This window comes from Homo sapiens, chromosome 9, assembly GCF_000001405.40.
Source record: "Homo sapiens chromosome 9, GRCh38.p14 Primary Assembly".
Lineage (NCBI taxonomy): Eukaryota > Metazoa > Chordata > Mammalia > Primates > Hominidae > Homo > Homo sapiens.
The window spans coordinates 107,363,450-107,385,883 of record NC_000009.12 but is presented as its reverse complement, the minus strand read 5'-3'; the positions used below and the strand labels follow the sequence as shown (position 1 = coordinate 107,385,883).

General features: G+C 44.2%; 1 long non-coding RNA gene across 3 annotated transcripts; it reads right to left on the bottom strand.

Moving 5' to 3' along the window:
* Positions 1-2,426: 2,426 nt before the first annotated feature.
* On the bottom strand, positions 2,427-22,169 carry LOC107987111 (uncharacterized). Of its 3 annotated transcripts, XR_001746876.1 has the most exons (4): positions 22,074-22,169; positions 13,460-13,563; positions 5,139-5,223; positions 2,427-2,884 (listed from the first exon to the last, which is right to left on the bottom strand). It is a non-coding gene; the product is annotated as an uncharacterized LOC107987111 (long non-coding RNA). The 3 variants fall into 3 exon arrangements; XR_001746874.1 differs by lacking the exon at positions 5,139-5,223; XR_001746875.2 differs by lacking the exons at positions 5,139-5,223; positions 22,074-22,169 and adding an exon at positions 16,655-18,341.
* Between the last annotated feature and the right edge of the window lie 265 nt (positions 22,170-22,434).

Genomic DNA, 22,434 nt, shown 5'->3' with positions numbered 1-22,434 from the left:
TCCCTGGGGCTATCCCAAGGTCCCTGACTTTCCTACGCTGCCTAAAAAATGGAAACCAATGAGTGCCTATTAAGTGCTTGCAATTTCATAAACTTTACCTCCCTCAAACTTTACAATTCAATAATGTAAATGTCATTATCGAAAGCTATAGACAGGTTAAGTAGCACATCTAAGCTCTCACAGCTAGTAAGTGGTAGAACTAAAATTCAAACCCAGTCCCACTGGGCTTCAAATGGCAATGTCTTTAACATTCACACTGTCTGTGATAAAACCCAGTGATCCCTCTGTTGCCAGATCCAATGGCCTTTTCTTAGTTCTTTTTTTTTTTTTTTTTTTTGAGACAGAGTCTCGCTCTGTTTCCTGGGCTGGAGTGCAGTGGTGCGATCTTGGCTCACTGCAACCTCCATCTCCTGGGTTCAAGTGATTCTCCTGTCTCAGCCTCCCGAGTAGCTGGGATTACAGGCGCACGCCACCATGCCCGGCTAATTTTTGTATTTTTAGTAGAGAAGGGGTATCACTATGTTGGCCAGGCTGGTCTCGAACTCTTGACCTCATGATCCATCCACCTCAGCCTCCCAAAGTGCTGGATTACAGGCATGAGCCACCATGCCCGGCTCACCTTTTCTTAGTTCTTATCACACTCGATGTTTTAGTGACATTCCACAAAGCCTACCTGTGTGCCCCTCTTCTCGAAACATTTTCTTCTCCTGGCTTTTATGAAATCTCACTTGTTGATGTTCCTCCTGCTTCACTGGCTGTTCCTTCTCAGTCTCTTTTTTGTTATTCTTTATTTTCTACTTAACCTCTCAACTTTAGAAGACCTAGGATGCAATCCTGAGCTCTTCTCTTCTGCATCTACAATCCACCTGGGTGAGCCCACCAATCTCCTGGTTTGAATACCATCCATGTATGGAGATTTTCAAACTTGCTATTCTTGCTTTGAGCTCTCTCTGCAAATCCGGGCTCATATAATCAACTCTTTGTTTGACATTTTTACTTGTAAAAAAATTAATAAGATTATTAATCCACTCCCCTCCCCCCAAGTTTGCTTCTACTCCAATTTTCTCCACCAAAGTAAACAGCACCTGGTTACCCTCAAGCCAAAAATCTAGAATTATCCTTGATTTCTCTGTTTTACTAGGCACCATGACCAATCCTTCAGCAAGTATTGTAACTTCTGCCTCCAAAAGATATCCCGACACCCACTTATCTACTTCTTCATTGCCAACACTCTAATTGAATCCCTGGTCATCACTGCCTGGATCACTGCAGTGTTCTTATAACTGCTGTTTCTGTTTCCAATATCTCTGCAATCCATTTGCCATATGGCAGCTAGAAGGATCTTTCTAAAAACATGAATCTGATTAAATCACTTTCTTACTTAAAGTCTTCCAATGACTTTCCACTCCACTTTGAATAAAATCCTAAACTTCTTACCCTCTTCCACGAAGCCTCCCATGATCCAACCTCATCTCATTCTGCTCTCACCCTTGGCCACCACCCTCCAGCCACACTTTAGCCTTTCTTCGTGCCTTATCCCTACCAAGTGAGTTTCTGCCTGAGAGTCCTCGAGCGTGCTGTTAATGCTTTAGAATATTCTTCTCCTGGTTTTCCTAGGTCAGTCTTTCTTGTCATCAATTAAGTGCTACCTTCTCAGAGAAGCCTTCCTTGGCCACGAATCTAAAATATCCATACGCCAGCAATTATCATAGCTCATATTTTAATTCTCTGCATAGCTGTTATTACTATCTGATCATTTCTTGTTTACATTTGGGGGAGTTATTGCCTAACTTCTTCATTAGCAATCAGGATTCACTGTCCTGTTTGCCATTGTATAGCTCATGCATAGAATGGTGTCTAGCACATAAGAAGCTCTCCACATACACCTAGTAAACAAATGGATGAATGAATGAAGGAGACAAAGCCACCAGTGTGCCTTTGGAGAGAAGAAAGCATGGCCAGATAGCCCCTTTAAAGGTATGGCACTGGTCTGAAAGTGCTTGTGAACCTCCTTCACACCTTCAAGGGCAAAGTCCACAGAATTTACTTCCTTTTCTTTCTTCTCTCCCTTTCTTGTTCATTATAGAATGATATAAAAGCATTAAAAAGCTACACATGACTGGGCACAATGGCTCACGCCTATAATCCCAGCACTTTGGGAGGCTGAGGCTGGAGGATCGCTTGAGCCCAGGAGTTCAAGACCAGCATGGCAGCATAGGGAGACTCTGTCTCCACAAAAAAATTAAATATTAGCCGGGCATGGTGGCACATGCCTGTAGTCCCAGTTATTCAAGAGGCTGAGGCAGGAGGATCACTTGAGCCCAGGAGTTTCAGGGAGCTGGTGTCACACCACTGTATTGCAGCCTGGGCAACAGAGTGAGACCTGGTCTCAAATAAATAAATAAAGCTACACGTAATCCCATCACTGTAAGAAATTCTTTTCACATAAGCATATTTTCTTCAAATCTTTTTCCATAAGCAGATATAGTTTTTACAAAATTGCAATCATAAAATACACAGTATTTAGTAGACTTCTTTTGAATTTGTTATTGTATCATAAACATTTTCCAAGCTATTCCAGATCTGCATATTTTCTATAACAATAATAGCTGGCGTATGTTGAGTATCTACAATGTGCCAGCTACTACTCAAACATTATTATGGATTGTCTCCTACTATCCCCACAATAACCTTATCAGATAGCTACTATTATTGGTATTTCCATTCTGCAGATGAGGCCACTGAAGCATTAATAATTTTTGTAAGGTAACACAGCCTGGACGTGGCATTCTCATTCCAGATCCCGGACTCTCCCTGCAATGTTTTACTGTGTCAGGTTGAAGTTACTTTATCATTCTCTGGCTTTGGATCTTCAGTTCTTTATCTGTAAAAAGGAGATAATAATAGTATTTACCTCATAAGGTTGTTGTTTTAAGGATGAAGTGAAAAAACATGTAAAGTATATAACAGATAATTCATAGACTGCAAGCAGCCATTAAATGAATTGAAAGACACTCCACTTTACTTGTAATCAGCAAAGTGAATATTGAAACAGCAATGAAAGATCAGTGACAAATGTTGGCAAAGATTTGGAGAAGAAGGCGTATTCACACACTGTTGTTGGGAGAAGAAATTGGTGATTTTTTTTTTTGGAGACGGAATTTCTTTGTAGCTCAGGCTGGAGTGCAGTGGCACGATCTCAGCTTACTGCAGCCTCCGCCTGACAGGTTCAAGTGATTCTCCTGCCTCAGCCTCCCAAGTAGCTGGGATTACTGGCGTGCACCACCATGCCCGGCTAATTTTTGTATTTTTAGTAGAGACAGGGTTTCACCATGTTGGCCAGGCTGGTCTTGAACTCCTGACCTCAGGTGATCCACCAGCCTTGGCCTCCCAAAGTGCTGGGATTACAGATGTGAGCCACCGCGCCCGGCCTGGTGATGATTTTTTGACTTGGAACTTGGCAGTTGCACAAATAAGCATAACCTAGGATCTGGAAATTCTTCTTGACCTCTCTCCTGACAAAACATATGCCCAGGGGCATAATGTGTATTAACAAAGATACTCAGAATAGGACTGTTGCTAATATTTGCTGTACATCATCAAAATATCAATAATGGAATGGTTAAATAAACTCTGATATACCTGCACCATATAACCCTGTACGACTAGTAAAAAAGAATTGTGTAGACCTACATAAGCTATAATGAAAATAGAAGTCATTAAGATAAAGAGTAAGATTTGGAACCTTATGTGCATTGTGATCCCATTACATTTTTTAAGAAGTTATATGTGAGATATAAATGCATACATTTGAATTTAAATGTTAAGGAAGAGGCCTGGGAGAATGCACACAATGGTTGAGGAGAGATGAAAGAATGAAGATGTGATATAAAGGGGCAATTTGTTTTTTCTATTTTATATAATTCTAATTGTTTCATTGAGAATATATTGACATGCCCATAATCCCAATTCGGGAAGTTGAGGTGGGAGGATTGCTTGAGCTCAGGAGTTTGAGACCAGCCTGGGCAATACAGTGAGACCCCATCTTAAAAAAAAAGAAAAATCAAGAGTTGCCAGGTGCAGTGGGTCACGCCTGTAATCCCAGCACTTTGGGAGGCCAAGGCAGGCGGATCACCTGAGGTCAGGAGTTCAAGACCAGCCTGGCCAACATGGTGAAACCTCATCTCTACTAAAAATGCAAAAATTAGCCGGGCATGGTGGTGCACACCTATAATTCCAGCTATTCGGGATGCTGACTCAGGAGAATTGCTTGAACCCATGAGGCGGAGGTTGCAGTGAGCCAGGATCGCACCACTGCACTCCAGCCTGGGCAACAGAGCAAGACTCCATCTCAAAACAACAACAACAGAAAAGAAATTCAAGAGAATGTATTGGAAATGGATACTCATGTGAGGATTCCTCTGTCTTTGACTACATCAAGGGATTAGCTCAACTGCATTATCTTTGTACTTCACTTGGAGAAGATTTTGAATTTGGATTTTTCTTTTTTTCTTTTAGAGACAGGGTCTCCCTCTGTCACCCAGGCTGGAGTGAAGTGGCACAGTCACAGCTCATTGCAGCCTTGAGTTCCTGGGTTCAAGGGATCCTTCTGCCTTGGCCTCTCAAGGAGCTAGGACTACAGGCACACACCACTATGCCCAGGTCATTTTTAATGTTTCTTTTTGTGTGTGTGGAGACAAGGGTTTCGCTGTGTTGCCTAGGCTGGTCTCAAACTCCTGGCCTCGAGTGATCCTCTCACCTCGGCCTCCCAAAGTGCTGGGATTATAGGTATAAGCCATTATGCCTGGCCTGAATTTGAATTTTGAATTGAAAAGTGGGTGGGGGAAATGGAGTATGAAACTCTACAGGGCCCCCTTCCCTCCTGCTTGTTCCAGGTCTTTCTCTGTCCACTCCTTTATTTTGAAGGGTAGCAGGGCATGCTAAGATCTTGCTGGATGGATTAGAGGTGGAACACTCTGGCACCTAGTAACTAACAATAAATGGCTGTTGAGTGAATGACAGAAAGCAGTGAGAGAAATGGGAGGAATTATTTCAAAAGAACCAAGAAGTACACGGATCTCCTCTGGCCATTGCAACCACACAAGGCCATCTCATGGGAATTAACATGAAGGCATTACCTTGGTTACCAGGCTGTAGCTGGGCCATTTCATTCTATGTCATGGTGAGTTGGCCGGTGGGGGAAGAGCATTATCCCCTGTGATCCTGAGGGGAGTATCAGGAAAGTCAGGTGGAGGACCTCTCATCTTTGAAGGGATGTTGGCTGCTTTGTGGGGCTTTCCGCCTGGTGGTGCACCAGTGGGGAGGGGACAGATCATGGGTTGGTCCCCATGGGAAAGCCAAGGGTAACCCCAAGCATGATGAGACTCACAGGCTGCTAAGGGGGCTGTTTCCGACATCAGTTTTACCAATTGGCTCTCTCAATACAATTTGTTTGTTTGTTTGTTTGAGACAGAGTCTCCCTCTGTCACCTAGGCTGGAGTATAGTGGTGTGATCCTGGCTCACTGCAACCTCCACCTTCCAGTTTCAAGCAATTCTCCTTCCTCAGCCTTCTGAGTAGCTGGATTTACAGGTGTGTGCCACCATGCCTGGCTAATTTTTGTACTTTTAGGAGAAACAGGGTTTCATCATGTTGGCCAGGCTGGTCTCGAACTCCTGACCTCGAGTGATCCGCCCACCTCGGCCTCCCAAAGTGCTGGGATTACAGGTGTGAGCCACTGCACCCGGCCTACAGTTTGTTTTGTTACTAACTTTAGTAACAGAACATCAATCCAAAGCAGGAGTGGTGACTTAAGCCAACTCATTTGGATTCTTGAAAGCCTCCCACAGGATCAGCTACATCATTTGCAGGTCTCAGTGCAAAATAGAATGGTGAAGCCCCTTGTTCAAACATAATTATTGGCCAGACACAGTGGCTCACGCCCTGCGGCTCTTCCCACACTTTGGGAGGCTGAGGTGGGAGGATCCCTTGGGCCCAGGATTTGAGACCAGCCTAGGCAACAGAATAAGACCACATCTCTACGAAAAAATTTTAAAAACTTAGCTGGGTGTGGTGGGGTGGGCTTGTAGTCCCAGCTACTCTGGAGGCTAAGGTGGGAGGATTGCTTGAGCCTAGGTGGTCAAGGCTACAGTGAGCAGTGAGTGCGCCACTGCACTCCAGCCTGGTTGATAGAATGAGACCTTGTCTTCAAAAAAAAAAAAAAAAAAAGAATTATTAAACATTTTAAAGACAGCAAATTAGAGGATTAAACCAAGTGTAGGGGACTCCTAAACACAGAAAATCTTTCACTGTGCTTAGAAGGTAATTCCTTCTGAATTACCTAAGGGCAACCCCTGTCAGCACTGCAAACATTAACTTTCTGCCAAAGGTAACAGTCTAGTCTCATAGGTTGACTGCCCAGGTCTCAGGCTTGTGAAGACAGCCCTGCCATACACATTAACACACATCCATTCCCCATCTTTCTCTGACTCTTCAATCTCTCATTGTCTGATTCCTCCCACATCCTCTCTTCAAGTCACCCCTCAATCTGGTGTCCCCACCTCCCCTCTTGGGAAATCCCATGGCCCTCATGTGATGAAAGGGTCCTAACTCTCCATTCTTGCATCTTTCAAACTCTGGTACCTCAAGCTTTACCAGTTGTTAGTGGAAATGCTCTTCTGCCCGTTGTCGGAATCAGTCCTGTGAATTGGTGTGAGGAGGGGTCAGGGAGGCCTGGGGTGCTCCAACTGCAGTTTGATCTCCCCAGCAGAGAAGCTTTCACTGATTCCTTCTGAATTACCTGAGGGCAACCCCCTTCAACTCTGCAAACATGAACTATTTCCAAAGGAAATAGTGTAGTTTCGTAGGTTGGATATATATTTCTTTGATTAAGAAAATATTGGCCGGGCGTGGTGGCTCATGCCTGTAATCCTAGCACTTTGGGAGGCCGAAGCCGGCGGATCATGAAGTCAGAAGATCGAGACCATCTTGGCTAACATGGTGAAACCCTGTCTCTACTAAAATACAAAAAATTAGCTGGGCGTGGTGGCGCACGCCTGTAGTCCCATATACCTGGGAAGTTGAGGCAGGGGAATCACTGAACCTGGGAGGCGAAGGTTGCAGTGAGCTGAGATCACACCACTGCACTCCAGCCTGGTGACAGAGCAAGATTCCATCTGAAAAAAAAAAAAAAAAAGAAAGAAAAAGAAAATATTGACTCTTTTCTTTTTTGAGACAGAGTCTGTCTCTTGTCACCCAGGCTGGAGTGCAGTGGCTCCATCTCGGCTCACTGTAACCTCTACCTCCCGGGCTCAAGCTATTCTCCTGCTCAGCCTCCTGAGTAGCTGGGATTACAGCCGCCTCAGCCTCTCAAGTAGCTGTAATTAAAGGTGCGTGCCACCATGCCCGGCTAATTTTTTGTATTTTTAGTAGAGAAGGGGTTTCGCCATGTTGTCTAGGCTGGTCTCGAAATCCTGACCTCAGGTGATCCACCTGCCTTGGCCTCCCAAAGTGCTGGGACTACAGTCAGTAAGCCACTGTGCCTGGCCAAGAAAATATTGACTCTTTTCCTTGCAATACAATAGCCCTGGCATTACTGTGCTCAAAAACCCTACTTTTTGGCCTACTTATAAAGGGCCACACGTAGCTCAGTTTTTTTTTTTTTTTTTTTTTGACTCAGCCATCTGGAACTATTCTAAACAGTTCCTCTTGGATTGCCTTATTTTTTCTTTGACAGAAGGGGAAATTTGAGTTTCTGTCCCAATACATTTCAACAGGTTGAAGAGCAAAGATAGCGAAACTGCCTCTTAGGGGTTACCTCTGGGTGGTTAGAAATGGATTCATAATCCTTGACAGGTTCTTTATGATTTTTTAAAAAATTTTTATTTTTATTTTGAATTTAATTTCATTTTTATTGATGAATTATTTTTACAGATAAATTACAGAGTATAATTATAAATAATAAATTATAGATTATAGTTTGCTAGAAATATAATTTATAAACGTAAATTATATGTTAAACATAAATTTATAGACAAAATATACATTATATTTATGTGGTACAAAGTGGTGTTATGACTTTGAATATAATGGTTAAATCAAGCTAATTAACATATTTATCACCTCAAATATTTAACATTTTTTGATAAGAACATTTGAAATGTACTCTCTTAGAGAAATTTAAACATAATACACAATTATTAACCATATTCATCATGCTATGTAATTGATCTCAGCAAAAGAATAAAGAAAGAAAAGTTCAGACTTATTCCTCCTCTCTGAGGCTTTATACACTTTGACCATCATCTCCCTATTTTCTTCCCACCCTCCAGCCTCTAGTTACCACCTTTCTACTCTCTGCTTCCTTGAGTTCAATTGTTTGAGATTCCACATATAATTGAGAAGATGTGGTATTTGTCTTTCTGTGTCTGGCTTATTTCACTTAACACAATGTTCTCCAATTCCATCTGTGTTTTCACAAATGACAGAATCTCTTCCTATTTATTTATTTATTTATTTGAGACAGAGTCTTGCTCTGTCACCCAGGCTGGAAGGCAGTGGTGTGATCTCAGCTAACTGCAACCTCCTCCTCCCGGGTTCAAGCGAGTCTCCTGCCTCAGCCTCCTGAGTAGCTGGGATTACAGGTGCCCACCACCATGCCTGGCTAATTTTTGTATTTTTAGTAGAGACGGGCTTTCACTATTTTGGTCAGGCTGGTCTCAAACTCCTGACCTCGTGATCTGCCTGCCTCAGCCTCTCAAAGTGCTGGGATTACAGGCGTGAGCCACTGCACCTGGCCATCCCTTCCTTTTTAAAGGCTGAATAGTATTCCACGGTGTATATATACCACGTTTTCTTTATCCATTCATCCCTTGATGGGCTCTTAGGTTGATTCCATAACTTGGCTACTGTGAATAGTGTTGCAATGAACATGGGAATGCACATATCTCTTTGACATTACTGACTTCAAGTCTTTTGGGTAAATACCCAGAAGAGGGATTGCTGGGTCATATGGTAACTGTATTTTTAGTTTTGAGGAACCTCCGTACTGCTTCCCATAGTGATTATTTATGGTTTGATTAATCCTGATCTGGGGATCCTATGTTACCACGCTTTTCCTTCTGCCACACCCAGTTGCTCCTTTTTCAAGGAGCAGGGAGTAATATTAGCAGGCGCTAAACTCATGTTGAAGAGTCAGTGGCCCCACAATGTTGTTCCACAATCCTCTTATCCAGCTTTAGCATCTTTCCTGCACCAGTTTTTCAAAGATGCCTTGCCTCCTAAAACACCCCAAGCATTTCCCAAAGTCTTTCATCCTATCTCACCTCCTACTGCACCATGCGAATGCCCACCTTCTGTCCACCTCAAAATATCTCTGTATTTTCACTTCTTTTCTCCCTCTCTACTGGTTCTCTGAGTCTCTTCCATCCCCTTTAGAACTCTGCTCCATTGATTTTCCTTTTTCTGTCCTTTACTCCAATCCATCATCCTATTTCTCTCCTCTCTGCAGGTAAGCACTCCAAATGTCTTCCATTTTGAAATAGCTCTCCCTTCTCCATGCCTTGCCCTTAACTTGTCATTGCATCTCTTCCCCACACTTTGCAGCCAAATGAATTGAACAGATATCCCTCACGCTTTGTCTCCACTTCCTCGCCTCCTACACATCCTCAGCCCACAGCAATCTGGCTTCCTCCTGACCTTCCCACTGAAACTGCTTTGACAGAGCCTCCTTTAGCCAAACCCAGTGAGTGCTTTTCAGCCCTTATCTTACTTGACCTCTCTTTGACACCGTCATGTCAATTACCCCATTCTTCATGAAACTCACTTCCCTAGGTTTCCACACGTTTCTCTCAAGGTTCCCCTCCTACATTCTTGGCAACTTACTCTTTATTCCTTTTTCTTTTCTTTTTGGTTCACGTTCTCTCATGAAACTTACGCTTTTTTGTGGTTATACTTAGATATGAACCTTTTCCTACACTTGCATCCTCTATCCTGATGAGCGCACCAACACCAATACTTAGAGGCAGAGCACATGAGACGTGACGTCCCAGTGCGTTTGCTTACTGGAGTTATACAGAATTCCACTGTAATTGATGACCAAGAGCTTGGCAAACCCAGACAGAGGTGTCCAAGAAGCTAAAGACTGTGTGTATGAGTGCCAGGGAAAATTTTGCAGGGTCTCTCTTCAAACTATCTCCCAAAGGACCCAGAATCCATCTTTCTGGAGATGTTAATAAAATAGACACATGGCCCCAACACCAGATGCCATCTGGCTCTATAATATTAAATAAATCAAAACAATTCCAACCTTACAACTCTGAGCACCAGAGATGGGGAATGATTGATTCACGGTCTCTCCCCCCATGCTCTATGTCTCCGCCCCCTTCCCTCCAAGAACGTTGCTCTAGCAGTTCTCTCTCCCACCTACGTGATCGGTTTTTTGCTACTAGATCATTCCAATAAGCAAAGAAATAGGCTGTTATTCTTCCTATCTTTGAAAAAAAGAAAAACCCTCCTATCCCTCTTCCTCCTTGCTCCCTTTTATAGGCAAAGTTCCTTGAAAGACTTATCTATATGTGCCATCTCCAATTTCTCTCTCCACATTTTTTCTTAAACCAACTCTAATGAGACTTTCTCTCCAATTCCCCCACCAAAACCATCTTTATCACTAGCGACCTCCACATTGCAAAACTCAGTGGTCAATTCTCAGTCTTCCTGTTACTTAACTTATCAGCAGCGTCTGACATCATTATTTATTCCCTCCTCTTGATATATTTCTTTACTCGGCTTTCTGGTCATCTTACTTTCTTGTTTTCCACCTTCTCACTGATAGCTCCTTCTTAGTCTCTCTCTCTTTTTTTTCTTTTTTTTTAATTTTGAGACAGGGTCTTGCTCTGTTGCCCAGGCTGGACTGCAGTAGCATGGTCACAGCTCACTGCAGCCTCAACCTCCAAGGCTCAAGTGATCCTCCCACCTCAGCCTCCCAAGTAGCAGTGACTACAGGCATGCCGCCACGCTTGACTAATTTTTTTATTGTTTTGTAGAGATGGGGTTTTGCCATGTTGCCCAGGCTGGTCTAGAACTCCTGGGCTCAAGCCATCTGCCTGCCTCGGTGCTCATCCCAAAGTGCTAGGACTACAGAAGTGAGAAGTGAGCCACTACACCTGGCCACCTACTTAGTCTCTTTTGGCCTCTCTTTCTCTCTGTTGGAATGTTTTTAGAGGCTGGTACTTTTCTTCTCCTTTTCTCTACCTACACTTGTTCCTTGGTGATCTTACTTTCAATATCATCTCTAAGCTGATGATTCTCAGACATTTATCTTAAGCCCAGATACCCCCACCAGCCTTTTGACATCTGCCCTTGGATATTCAATAGACATCTCAAATTCAGCATCTCCAGAATGAACTGCTCTGCTCCCAATCTGCTCTAGCCACAGATTTTCCCTTTTCAGTTGATGGGGATCTTATCCTTCCATTTGCTCAAGCAAAATGCCTTAGATCAACCTTGATGTCTCTCTCCCTTCCTGTCAAACTCCATCTTCAATTCCACAGGAAGTGCTGCTGTCTCCACCTCCAGAATAAATCCAGAATCCAACCACTCCTTCCCTCTACTGCCGTTTCTGTGGTCCAGGCCTCCATCATTGCTCACTTGAATTGTTAAATTGCCTCTTACCCAGTCCCCCTGATTCTACCTTTGCCCTCCCCTGCCCAGGGTATTTTCAAAACAGACTCGGATGAATGCTTTTGAAGCATGTGTCAGAGAAGGTCACTCTTGTCCTTAGAGTGCAGAGATGGCTCCATATTTCACTCAGAGTATGACTGTGGCCTCTGTGATCTGTCCTTATCCAGATCTCCTTATCTCTCTGCCCTCATCTCCTACTGTTGCCCTCTCACTCATTCTTCTCCAGCCGCCTTGGCCTTCTTTCTATTTCTGATTCACCAGACATGCATGTGTCTTAGAGCCTTTGAATCTCACATTTATTTGCAAAGCTGGCCTCCTCACCTCCTGTCACCTTCTTAATGAGTCTCACCCTGTACACCTCATTTAAAATTACAGGCTGCCCCTCATGACTTTCTACCCTTTTGTCATGTTCAAGTTTATTATCTCACTTATTACGTTCTAACATATAATACTACTTGTTTTAAAACTGTATTTATTTATTCTTTATTGTTTATTGATATCATTGGATTTAAATCTACCATCTTGCAATTTATGTCCCATCTGTTTTTTCTTTCCTCTTTTTTTTTTCTGCTTTTCTTTTGATTAACTGTGTGTTTTGTTTTTGTTTTTGTTTTGAGACCAGGTCTCGCTCTGTCGCCCAGGCTGGAGTGCAGTGGCACAATCTCGGCTCACTGCAACCTCCACCTCCCGGGTTCAAGCGATTCTCCTGCCTCAGCCTCCTGAGTAGCTGGGACTAAAGGTGCGCCACCACTCCTGGCTAAATTTTGTTGTTGTTGTTTTGGTAGAGATGGGGTTTCACCATGTGGCCCACGCTGGTCTCGAACTCCTGACCTCAAGTGATCCACCCGCCTTGGCCTTCCAAAGTGCTGGGATTACTGACGTGAGCCACTGCGCCCAGCCAATTGCATATTTTTTTATGATTTCATGTTGTCTCTTTTGTTAGTTAATTAGCTCTTACTCTTTGTTGTCTTACTGTAATGGTTGCTTTAGAGTTTACAGTATGCATCTTTAACACATCACAGTCTACCCTCAGTAATATTATGCTACCTTACAACAGTAAAATAACCTTACACCAACATACATCTGTTTCTTTCCTCCCAGCCTTGTGTAATTGTTGTTATACGTTTTACTTCTACATATGTTATAAAACCTATAATCATTGTTAGTATTTTTGCTTTTAAAAGTCAATTATCTCTTAAAGAGACTTAAGTAATGATTTTTAAAAATCTTTTATATTTGCCCACATATATAACATTTCTAGTGTCAGTTTTTCCTTTGTGTGGATCTAAATTTCCATCTGCTATTATTTTCCTTCTCCCTGTCTAGGGAGTAATCATGGGGCTTGCCTCACTTGTGTCCCACCTTTCAGGTCCTTCATGGCCTGATGTCCAATGTCTTTAAAACAGTTGTTTTATAAAATTTATCCAAATTTTTTCATTGTTTCAAGCAAAAGAGTAAAACCAGTCTCTGTTATTTCATCTTGGTCTGGAGCAGAGGTCTGGCATATTATTGACTGTCTTTTCTCTCCAGAATGTAAGAGAGGGATTTTTGTCTATTTTGTTACCAGATATCTACCAAATGCCTGGCGTATAGTAGGCTCTCAATAAATACTTGTCGCATGTTTAGTGACTATACTAAAGCACTTTGTAAATTAAATGTACCATATGGATTACTATATCTTAGACATATATATCTTAGACATATATCCAGCTAATTAGAACATAGGAGTGTATCTTTGTCAGAGCTTCAGTTCAGGGGCAAACATGAAACACATCGCTTACCATTTCAATCTTGTATGGGGACCCCTTGTAAGGGTACATCTCTGAAAATGCTGTCCTTGTTGGGCATCAAGATTCTCTCTGTGAAGCTGATGCCTGGAGAGCCTCTGTGGGAAAACAAACAAACAAAAACAACAACAACCAGAAAAAAACAAACCTTTTGTTCCAACTCAGAGAACAGCTGCTTTTAATGTCTTTTTCTTTCTTTTTTTTTTTTTTTGAGACAGAGTCTTGCTCTGTCACCCAGATTGGAATGCGGTGGTGCTATCTCTGGTCACTGCAACCTCCATCTCCCGGGTTCAAGAGATTCTCCTGCCTTAGCCTCCCAAGTAGCTAGGATTACAGGCACATGCCAACACACCTGGCTAATGTTTGTATTTTTAGTAGGGATAGGGTTTCACCATGTTGGCCAGACTTGTCTCGAACTCCTGAACTCAGGTGATCCTCCCCGCTCAGCCTCCCAAAATGCTGGGATTACAGGCATGAGCCACCGCACCTGCCTGTCTTATTTGTTTTTAAGCAGTGAAACCCTTTCAATGAACAAAGTCTTACACAGAATCCAGTCTATCTGTAACCCCAATACCATGCGCTTAGTGAAGAGAAAGAGGAGTGGTTCAGTGCATCACCAAACCCTCAATGTTAGAAGCTACAATCACAATGCTGAATCCAGAAGACTGAATCGAACATATTTTTACTTTAGGTATGGATTCATCCTTGGTTCCAAAAGCCTCTTACGTGACCATGGCTCTCACATTTGGAACCCTCTTTTTCTTCTCTTGACATTTTTTTTTTCTTTTTTTTTTTTTGAGATGGAGTCTCGCTCTGTCGCCCAGGCTGGAGTGCAGTGGCGCGATCTCGGCTCACTGCAAGCTCCGCCTCCCGGGTTCACGCCATTCTCCTGCCTCAGCCTCCCGAGTAGCTGGGACTACAGGTGCCCGCCACCATGGCCGCCTAATTTTTGTAGTTTTACTAGAGACGGGGTTTCATTGTGTTGTCCAGGCTGGTCTCGACCTCCTGACCTCGTGATCCACCCACCTCAGTCTCCCAAAGTGCTGGGATTACAGGCGTGAGCCACTGCGCCCGGCTTCTCTTGACATTTTTAAACTTCGTCCACCTCTCTTCTTTGGTCCCACCTTTAGAATGTTCACCATTTTCTTTTCTTTTTGAGACAAAGTCTCACTCTGTCACCCAGGCTGAAGTGCAGTGGCACGATCATAGCTCACTGCAGCCTTGATCTCCTAGGCTTAAGTGACCCTCCTGCCTCAGCCTCCCAAGTAGCTGGGACTACAGCTGTGTGCCACTATGCCAGGCTAATTTTTTATTTTTTGAAGAGATAGGGTCTCACTATATTGCTCAGGCTGGTCTCAAACTCCTGGGCTCAAGCTATCCTCCCACCTTGGCCTCCCAAAGTGTTGGGATTACAGGTGTGAGCCACCATGCCCAGCCTCATCATTTTCATATTCTCTCTAATTATAAACTTGGTGACAGTGTAGGTGTGTTGAGTAGGGACCTGTACAACAATTCAAACCTTCAAATTTTTTAGATCGCTTCCTCTCAGGTGAATTGTTATTACTAAAAATAGATTTCTCCCTTCTTTTCTGATAACCAGTGCCATGTCCTGTAGAGCAGTAATGGGAGAAAAAAAATGTCATTCCGTCTCCTAAAAATTAGATAAAAGCCACAGTTCTCATCATAAGCCTTTATGTGTCTGAATGTATTGATTTTCTTATTATAATAAGAGTATAAACATACAATTGTTTGAACAAATAACAAAAAAATGGAAATTGGGAAGCCTGTGGATGCTTGCTAATGGCCTAAAATCAGTCTCTGCATCACTTTATCCTAAATTTTCATTTTTGTTTGGTTGCACAGTACTGAGGAAATCTACATTTGTTTAAAGAAGTAGTTGTAATGACTGGTTTTTACATGAGCTTGGCTTGCTGAGTTAGACACTTCTCAGTTAAGGGGAGACAACAGGAAAAGCTTTACCTTGGGCTTTCCCTGGCAGCATGAGGCCATGTTCCACTGGTCTGCAATGAGTTAAGATTTGGTAAGGAAAATACAATTTTTTTTGTTTGTTTTATTGAGATGGAGTCTTACTCTGTCACCTAGGATGAAGTGCAGTGGCGCTATCTCGGCTCACTGCAGCCTCCACCTCCTGGGTTCCAGCAATTCTGCCTCAGCCTCCCAAGTAGCTGGGATTACAGGCACGCGCCACCACACCTGGCTAATTTTGTATTTTTAGTAGAGATGGGGTTTCACCATATTGGCTAGGCTAGTCTCAAACTCCTGACCTCAGGTGATTCACCTGCCTTGGTCTCCCAAAGTGCTAGGATTACAGGCATAAGCCGCTGTGCCTGGCCACAGTTTTTTAAAGTGTTAATTTTTTAAAAAAAGCAATATTAAATGTTTAATTTTTAATCATTGAAGTCAATAATATTGAATCACTGAACTCCTTCTAGAAACTTAAGGATAGCTCAGTCCTATGCCTAACTTATCAAAGCCAGAGATGGAAGTCCAAATGAGGGTCTACATACTATATGTGTAGATGTTTTAATTATTATGAATCAAGCTAACAAACTGCTAAATAAAGTATTCCTATTCTCCTACTTTGAAGATTTGATTTTTGACAAAATCAGAAATATGTAAAAGCTATGTTTTTCATGGAAAGTCAGCAAAGTATTAAAGACAACTGCATTTAATTACTCTTACATGTCTGGCTGTTCTGTTGATGAGCCAGCAATATTTACAGGAGTCATAACATAAAAACATATACGACCCCTACATTATTCATTATTTAGTCTATAATTTGAAATCTTTATTTCAGAAAAATAACTCTGAGATATTCTATTCTGCAGGTGCTGCAGTCAAATCCCAGAGACAGTGCAGGATCCAGAAACAAAGTGCCAGAAGCCGGGATGCTGACATAGAGATGGAAGAAGAGGGAACTACTTGGCATGATCCCTGAAAGCAGAGTGGGGCCTTAGACTCATATAATCTGGTGACAGTGAGTATCAGGGGGTTTCCCCGCACCAACCAATTCCCCAACTCTCCAGACACCAACTGGGTGCCTCACAATTCATTTGCGACACTGATCACCTAATGTAAGCACAGACTCCACAGGTTAAGGGCTCAGCCCCACAAGATCACCCACGCTTCAGCCACCAACCACCAAGAGTGGATCTCCAGGTTACTCACAGTTCCATCCAACTTGGCAACAAATCTGGGGTTCTCACAACCCCCTCCTCAGGTTCAACAATATGATAGCTCACAGAACTCAGGGAAAGACTTACTCACATTTACCAGTTTATGACAAAGGACTTGATAGAATAAACACATGAACAGCCAGATGAAGATCTTGCATGTAGGGCAAGCTCCAGAGGGCGTGAGCACGGGAGCTTCTGTCCCCATGGACTTCGGTCGTGCCACCTTTCCAACACATGACACGTTCACTGACCCAGAAGTTCTCCCATTTTGCCTTTTAGGGATTTTTATGGCTGCTTCATCACGTGGGCTTGACGGATTACTAACTCAGTCTCCATCTCCTCTCGTCTCTCTGGAGCATGGGGAGTGGGGCTGAAAGACCTAAGCTTCTAATCATGGTTTGGTCTTCCTGGCAATCAGCCCCCACCCTGACATTGTTCAGGGGCTTACAGAGAGCCACCTCAGATTAGGACAAAAGACGTTCTTATCACCTAGGAAATTCCAAGGGACTTAGGAACTCTGTGTCAGGAACTGGGGTCAAAGACAAAATATTAGAACAAAAAAAATGCTCCTAGCACCGCTATCGCTCAGGAAATGAGAAGAATGTTAGAAGCTCTGTGCCAGAAACCAGGGAAAAATAAATATAAATATATCTATATATTTCTGTTGTCACAGTGGGTCAGCCTACTGTGACCTCATATGCATCCACAGACTTATGATGTCCCACCTGCAAACTTGACTCTCAGAGCATGTCAGCCTCAAGTCAGCTAGCTCAGCCTCCCTCCTCAGCCACTCTGCAGGAGTTCAGGGAGCAGGAACTCTGGTATCAGAGAGACTCAGGCCAAGACTCTGCCACTCACCCAGGCATGTCACCTCTCAGAGACTTCATTTCCTCCCTTCTAATAGGGGAAGAATGGTGCCTACTCATAGGGCTACTGTGAGGATACATCAGGCAGCGTAAGTAAAGTACTCCCTTCTCTACAATGGTAGCACAACCAGCTGACTAAAAATCAGTTCGTTCATTCATTCAACTGGAATGTGAGTAAACAACAAAGACCTTGGGAAATGTCGACTGTCACGGTCCTTGATTTTCCTCACTCTCTATGGTGCTACAGTGGCAAAACAGTGGGTACCCCCACTGCCCATCATCCTGGAGCAGAAATGAGGGGGCCCTTGGAAACGGACCACACAGAGGCTTCCTCTGGGGACCTGGCTGGTGCAGTGTGGCGAGACCAGGAGGTCAGTTCTCATGGTGGAGGTTGTCAAGCACTGATGATGAGTGGTACGGGGGGGTTTTGGCTAATCAATCACATGGTTTTGCTCCCTGAGATCTGAGCCACTTGACAAATAGACACAAGGTCAAAAAACACCAGGTTTTCAAGGTGAGCTGGACTGAAGAATGCAATGTGGACCTGCCTGTTTCCCCCCACCCAACAAAGTACACCCTAACCCTGATCATGACACTAATTGCAACCCTAACCCTAATCCTAGCCCACCCTGGCACCCCATGCAGGGGCTGGCTGGGAGCCCCAAGAAGGAGCACACAGATCCTGATGCAGTCTGGAAGAATAAAGCGAGCCCACCGGAATGAACACCTGCATTCTTGCCTGAGTGACAACCTACCATGAGGACAAGTAAAGAGGAGGAGAGAGAGGCCGGGCACAGTGGCTCACTCCTGCCATCCCAGCACCTTGGGAGGCTGAGGCAGGTGGATCACCTGAGGTCAGGAGTTCAAGACCAGCCTGGCCAACATAGTGAAACCCTGTCTCTACTAAAAATACAAAAAAAAAAAAAATTAGCCAGGTGTGGTGGCATGTGCCAATAATCCCAGCTACTGGGAGGCTGACGCAGGAGAATCACTTGAACCCGGAAGGCAGAGGTTGCAGTGAACTGAGATCATGCCACTGCACTCCAGCCTGGATGACAGAGTGAGACTCCCTCTCAAAAAAAAAAAATTAATTAAAATTTGAAAAAATAGGAGAGAGAAAGGACATTCTTTCCAGGGAGTAGAGTGGAGTCCCCTTCCCTCTGTGTCAGGAGAGAGACCACTGACATTTTCCCTGACAATGCTCCCAACCTCTTCTCCCCACATAACTGTGGCGTTGCCCCATTCAGTGGGATCACCAGCCTCTGAGGGTGTAAGCCTGAGGGTGATTAGAGGTTCGCCATTGAGCAACAAAGAGACCAGGGCTGACACTGGGCACTGAGCCTGGGTGCTCCTTCACCCAGGTGGTAGGAGTGGGCTGGCTCTAGGATCACTGTGCTCTGGACCCCAGTCCTTCTGAGACCATGGGGTTGCCTGGTGGAAAGTAGCTCTGTGTGTGTGTATGCTCGCAAGCCGAAAGAGCCCTGTCCCTAAAGCACTGTACCCTGCTGTAGGGAAACCACTAGCAGCTGGTTTCTGCAGTGGGTCCCCTTTCCCACTCCCCCAGGGTGGCACTGCTGAGAGTAGAGCATCCTGTGCCGAGGAACGACCCGGGGATGAGCATTAGTGGTGGCAATCGGCTATAGCACCGGGCTCGAGTTTTACTGAGAGCTTCAAGTTGGCCCTGGGATTAAGCAAGGGAGAGCGACGGCAGGCAGGCCGGAGATGGTGGTGGCATGGCAGCCACCACTGGCAGCCAGCCTTCCCTGGAGTCAACAACCAGCTGAGGTGGCCAAGGTGGCCCTGCTCCCCAGCAGGTGGCTGCAGAACACCCCAGGGCCACGGCTGAGGTCAAAACTGCACCTCTGGGATTATTGGATTTAGCAGAGTAAGAAGAACCAGGGAGGGGCAAACGATGTCCCCTCTTTGTCAGCAGTCTTAGAAGTATCCCATTCAAATTTTATTTTATTTTTTTTGAGACGGAGTCTTGCTCTGTTGCCCAGGCTGGAAGGAGTGCAATGGTATGATCTCTGCTCACTTCAACCTCTGCCTCTCAGATTCAAGTGATTCTCCTGCCTCAGCCTCTGGAGTAGCTGGGATTACAGGTATCCCACCACACCTGGTTAATTTTTATATTTTTAGTATAGATAGGGTTTCACCATGTTGCCCAGGCTGGTCTCAAACTCCTGACCTCAGGTGATCCACCCGCCTCGGCCTCCCAAAGTGCTAGGATTACAGGTGTGAGCCACTGCGCCCAGCCCCATTTGAATTTTAAAAGACATCCTACCTCATTTGTAACTCCAGCTGATGACTGATAGAGTGACACCTATCAGTCATTTAGTTTGTTTTAATTATCATTCACCTTAGAAGTAGATTTTTCTGATTACATAAATAATACATGTTGACTTCTCATAATCAGAACTATTTATATAAATATCTGGACCAAAAAAAAATAAGTCACCTAGAATCTCACCACCCTGAGAGAACTAACTACTATGAATATTGCCTATCAGATTTCTTTTTCTTTTTCTTTTTTTTTTTTTTTTTTTTTTTTTGACAGAGTCTTGCTCTGTCGCCAGGCTGGAGTGCAGTGGCGTGATCTTGGCTCACCACAACCTCCACCTCCTGGGTTCCAGTGATTCTCCTGCCTCAGCCTCCTGAGTAACTGGGATTACAGGTGTGCACCACCATGCCCAGCTAATTTTTGTACTTTTTTTTTTTTTTTTCTGAGATGGAGTCTTGCTCTGTGGCCCAGGCTGGAGTGCAGTGGCGCCATCTTGGCTCACTGCAAGCTCCACCTGCCGGGTTCATGCCATTCTCCTGCCTCAGCCTCCGGAGTAGCTGGGACTACAGGCACCTGCCACCGCGCCCGGCTAATTTTTTGTATTTTTAGTAGAGATGGGGTTTCACCATGTTAGCCAGGATGGTCTCGAGCTCCTGACCTCGTGATCCACCCGCCTCAGCCTCCCAAAGTGCTGTGATTACAGGCGTGAGCCATCATGCCCGGCCTAATTTTTGTATTTTTAGTAGAGAGGGAGTTGGTCAGGATGGTCTTCTATCAGATTTCTTTGCACCTCTTCATACAGCCACGCACACCCATACATAGCATATGTAAATGATCATAAGTGAGAAGGTGCCCAACTTTTTAAATCATCAACACTATCCACTGCTATCCCCCGACCCCAGCTCCCTATCTCATCTAGACCCCACAGACAATCTTTGTTCACATTCTGAACATTTCCTTCCTTTTCTCCATACACATACGAACACACAGTGTTTGTTTTCTGTAGCTGGATGCTATACTGGTCTTTGTTTTATAAAATGAGATCACCCATTTCCTTGCATCTTGCCTTTTTCCATCAGCAACAACTCCCAGATATTCCTCCGGGTCACCTGGAAGGGCTCCATCTCTTCTTAAATGACTGCTTAATATTCCATGGTAGGTTACGCTAGGTTGAAAGCTCCCCACCCCACTACCTCCAAGGCCTCTGGTCCTTGCAGAAGCGGAAGGCCACTGAATACGCACTGAATATGACAGCATGGTAGGGTGCTAGACCAGGAACTTTGGAGGCAATGACCAATTTCTTACTTACTGACTACTACTTACTTACTTACTGAGAGTAAACTGGTAAGATTATGTGGAAATAACCTTTTAAATAATGGGCCAGGCACAGCAGCTCACCCTGTAATCCCAGCACTTTGGGAGGCCAAGGCAGGCAGATCACCTGAGGTCAGGAGTTCGAGACGAGCCTGGCCAACATGTACTAAAAATACAAAAAGTTACCCTGGCGTGGTGGTGCATGCCTGTAATCCCAGCTACTCGGGAGGTTGAAAGAGGAGAATCACTTGAGCCTGGGAGGCGGAGGTTGCACTAAGCCGAGATCGCACCACTGCACTCCAGCCTGGGCAACAGAGCAAAACTCCGTCTCAAAAAAATAAATAAATAAATAAAATAATGATGACATTGGTGATTTTGACCATGATAATGATGATAATGACGATTGCTTGCATTATTAGTTCTGACCTTATTATTGCCTTTATTGATTTTTTTCTAAGTTTTTTTCAATGAATAGTTTATTCTTGTGGTTCAAAATAGCAAAACATGTAAAAAGATACACACCATAAAGTCTCCCTCCCATTCCTATCTCCCAGCCACCCCGTTCCCCTCCCTATAAAAGAATACTATTACTGGTTTCTTGTGTAGGAACTTTGTGAATTATAGGCAATTTTTGTTTTCTTTATTTCAGTGACTCTTCCTACCACAGTAAAGTAGGTAGAACATATAGCACCCCTGTATTACAAATAAGGAAGCCGAGACTCAGAAAGATGAAGAGATTAGCACAGCCTGGACTGGACCCCGCAGTCTGCCAGATCGCAGGCCTGCTCTGCCGGGCTTTCTGCTCACCGAATGAGCTCGCCGTGTGGCTCAATGAAAGGCAGCCAATCATAAATGCCTCACTAGAGCAAGCGCTCACCTCTCCCACTGATTTATTAGTTCAGCAAGCCTGGATTTTTCTCCCTAGGCTCATTTTATTTTTTAAATCTTACCGTAGAACACACCTGATTCCCTCAGCAGCAGGAAGTGACCAAGCCAAGGGCCATCCCACTTTTCAGTCCCCTCCCTGCCTGCATTCTTGCAGCATCTGGGAGCACTCCTGGAGCCTGTGCAGCTGGGCTTCTTTGTGTGGCTTCCCTCTGTCTGCCCAGTGTCTTGCCCCCAGGGCCTATAAGACAGAGGCCATCTGTTTCTGCATCTCTTTCTTTCTCTCTCTGTATTTTTTTTTTTTTTTTTTTTGAGACACTATCTCACTCTGTCACTCAGGCTGGAGAGCGGTGGTGCAATTATGGCTCACTGCAGACCTACTGGGCTCAAGCAATTCTCCCACCTCAGCCTCTCAAGTAGCTAAGG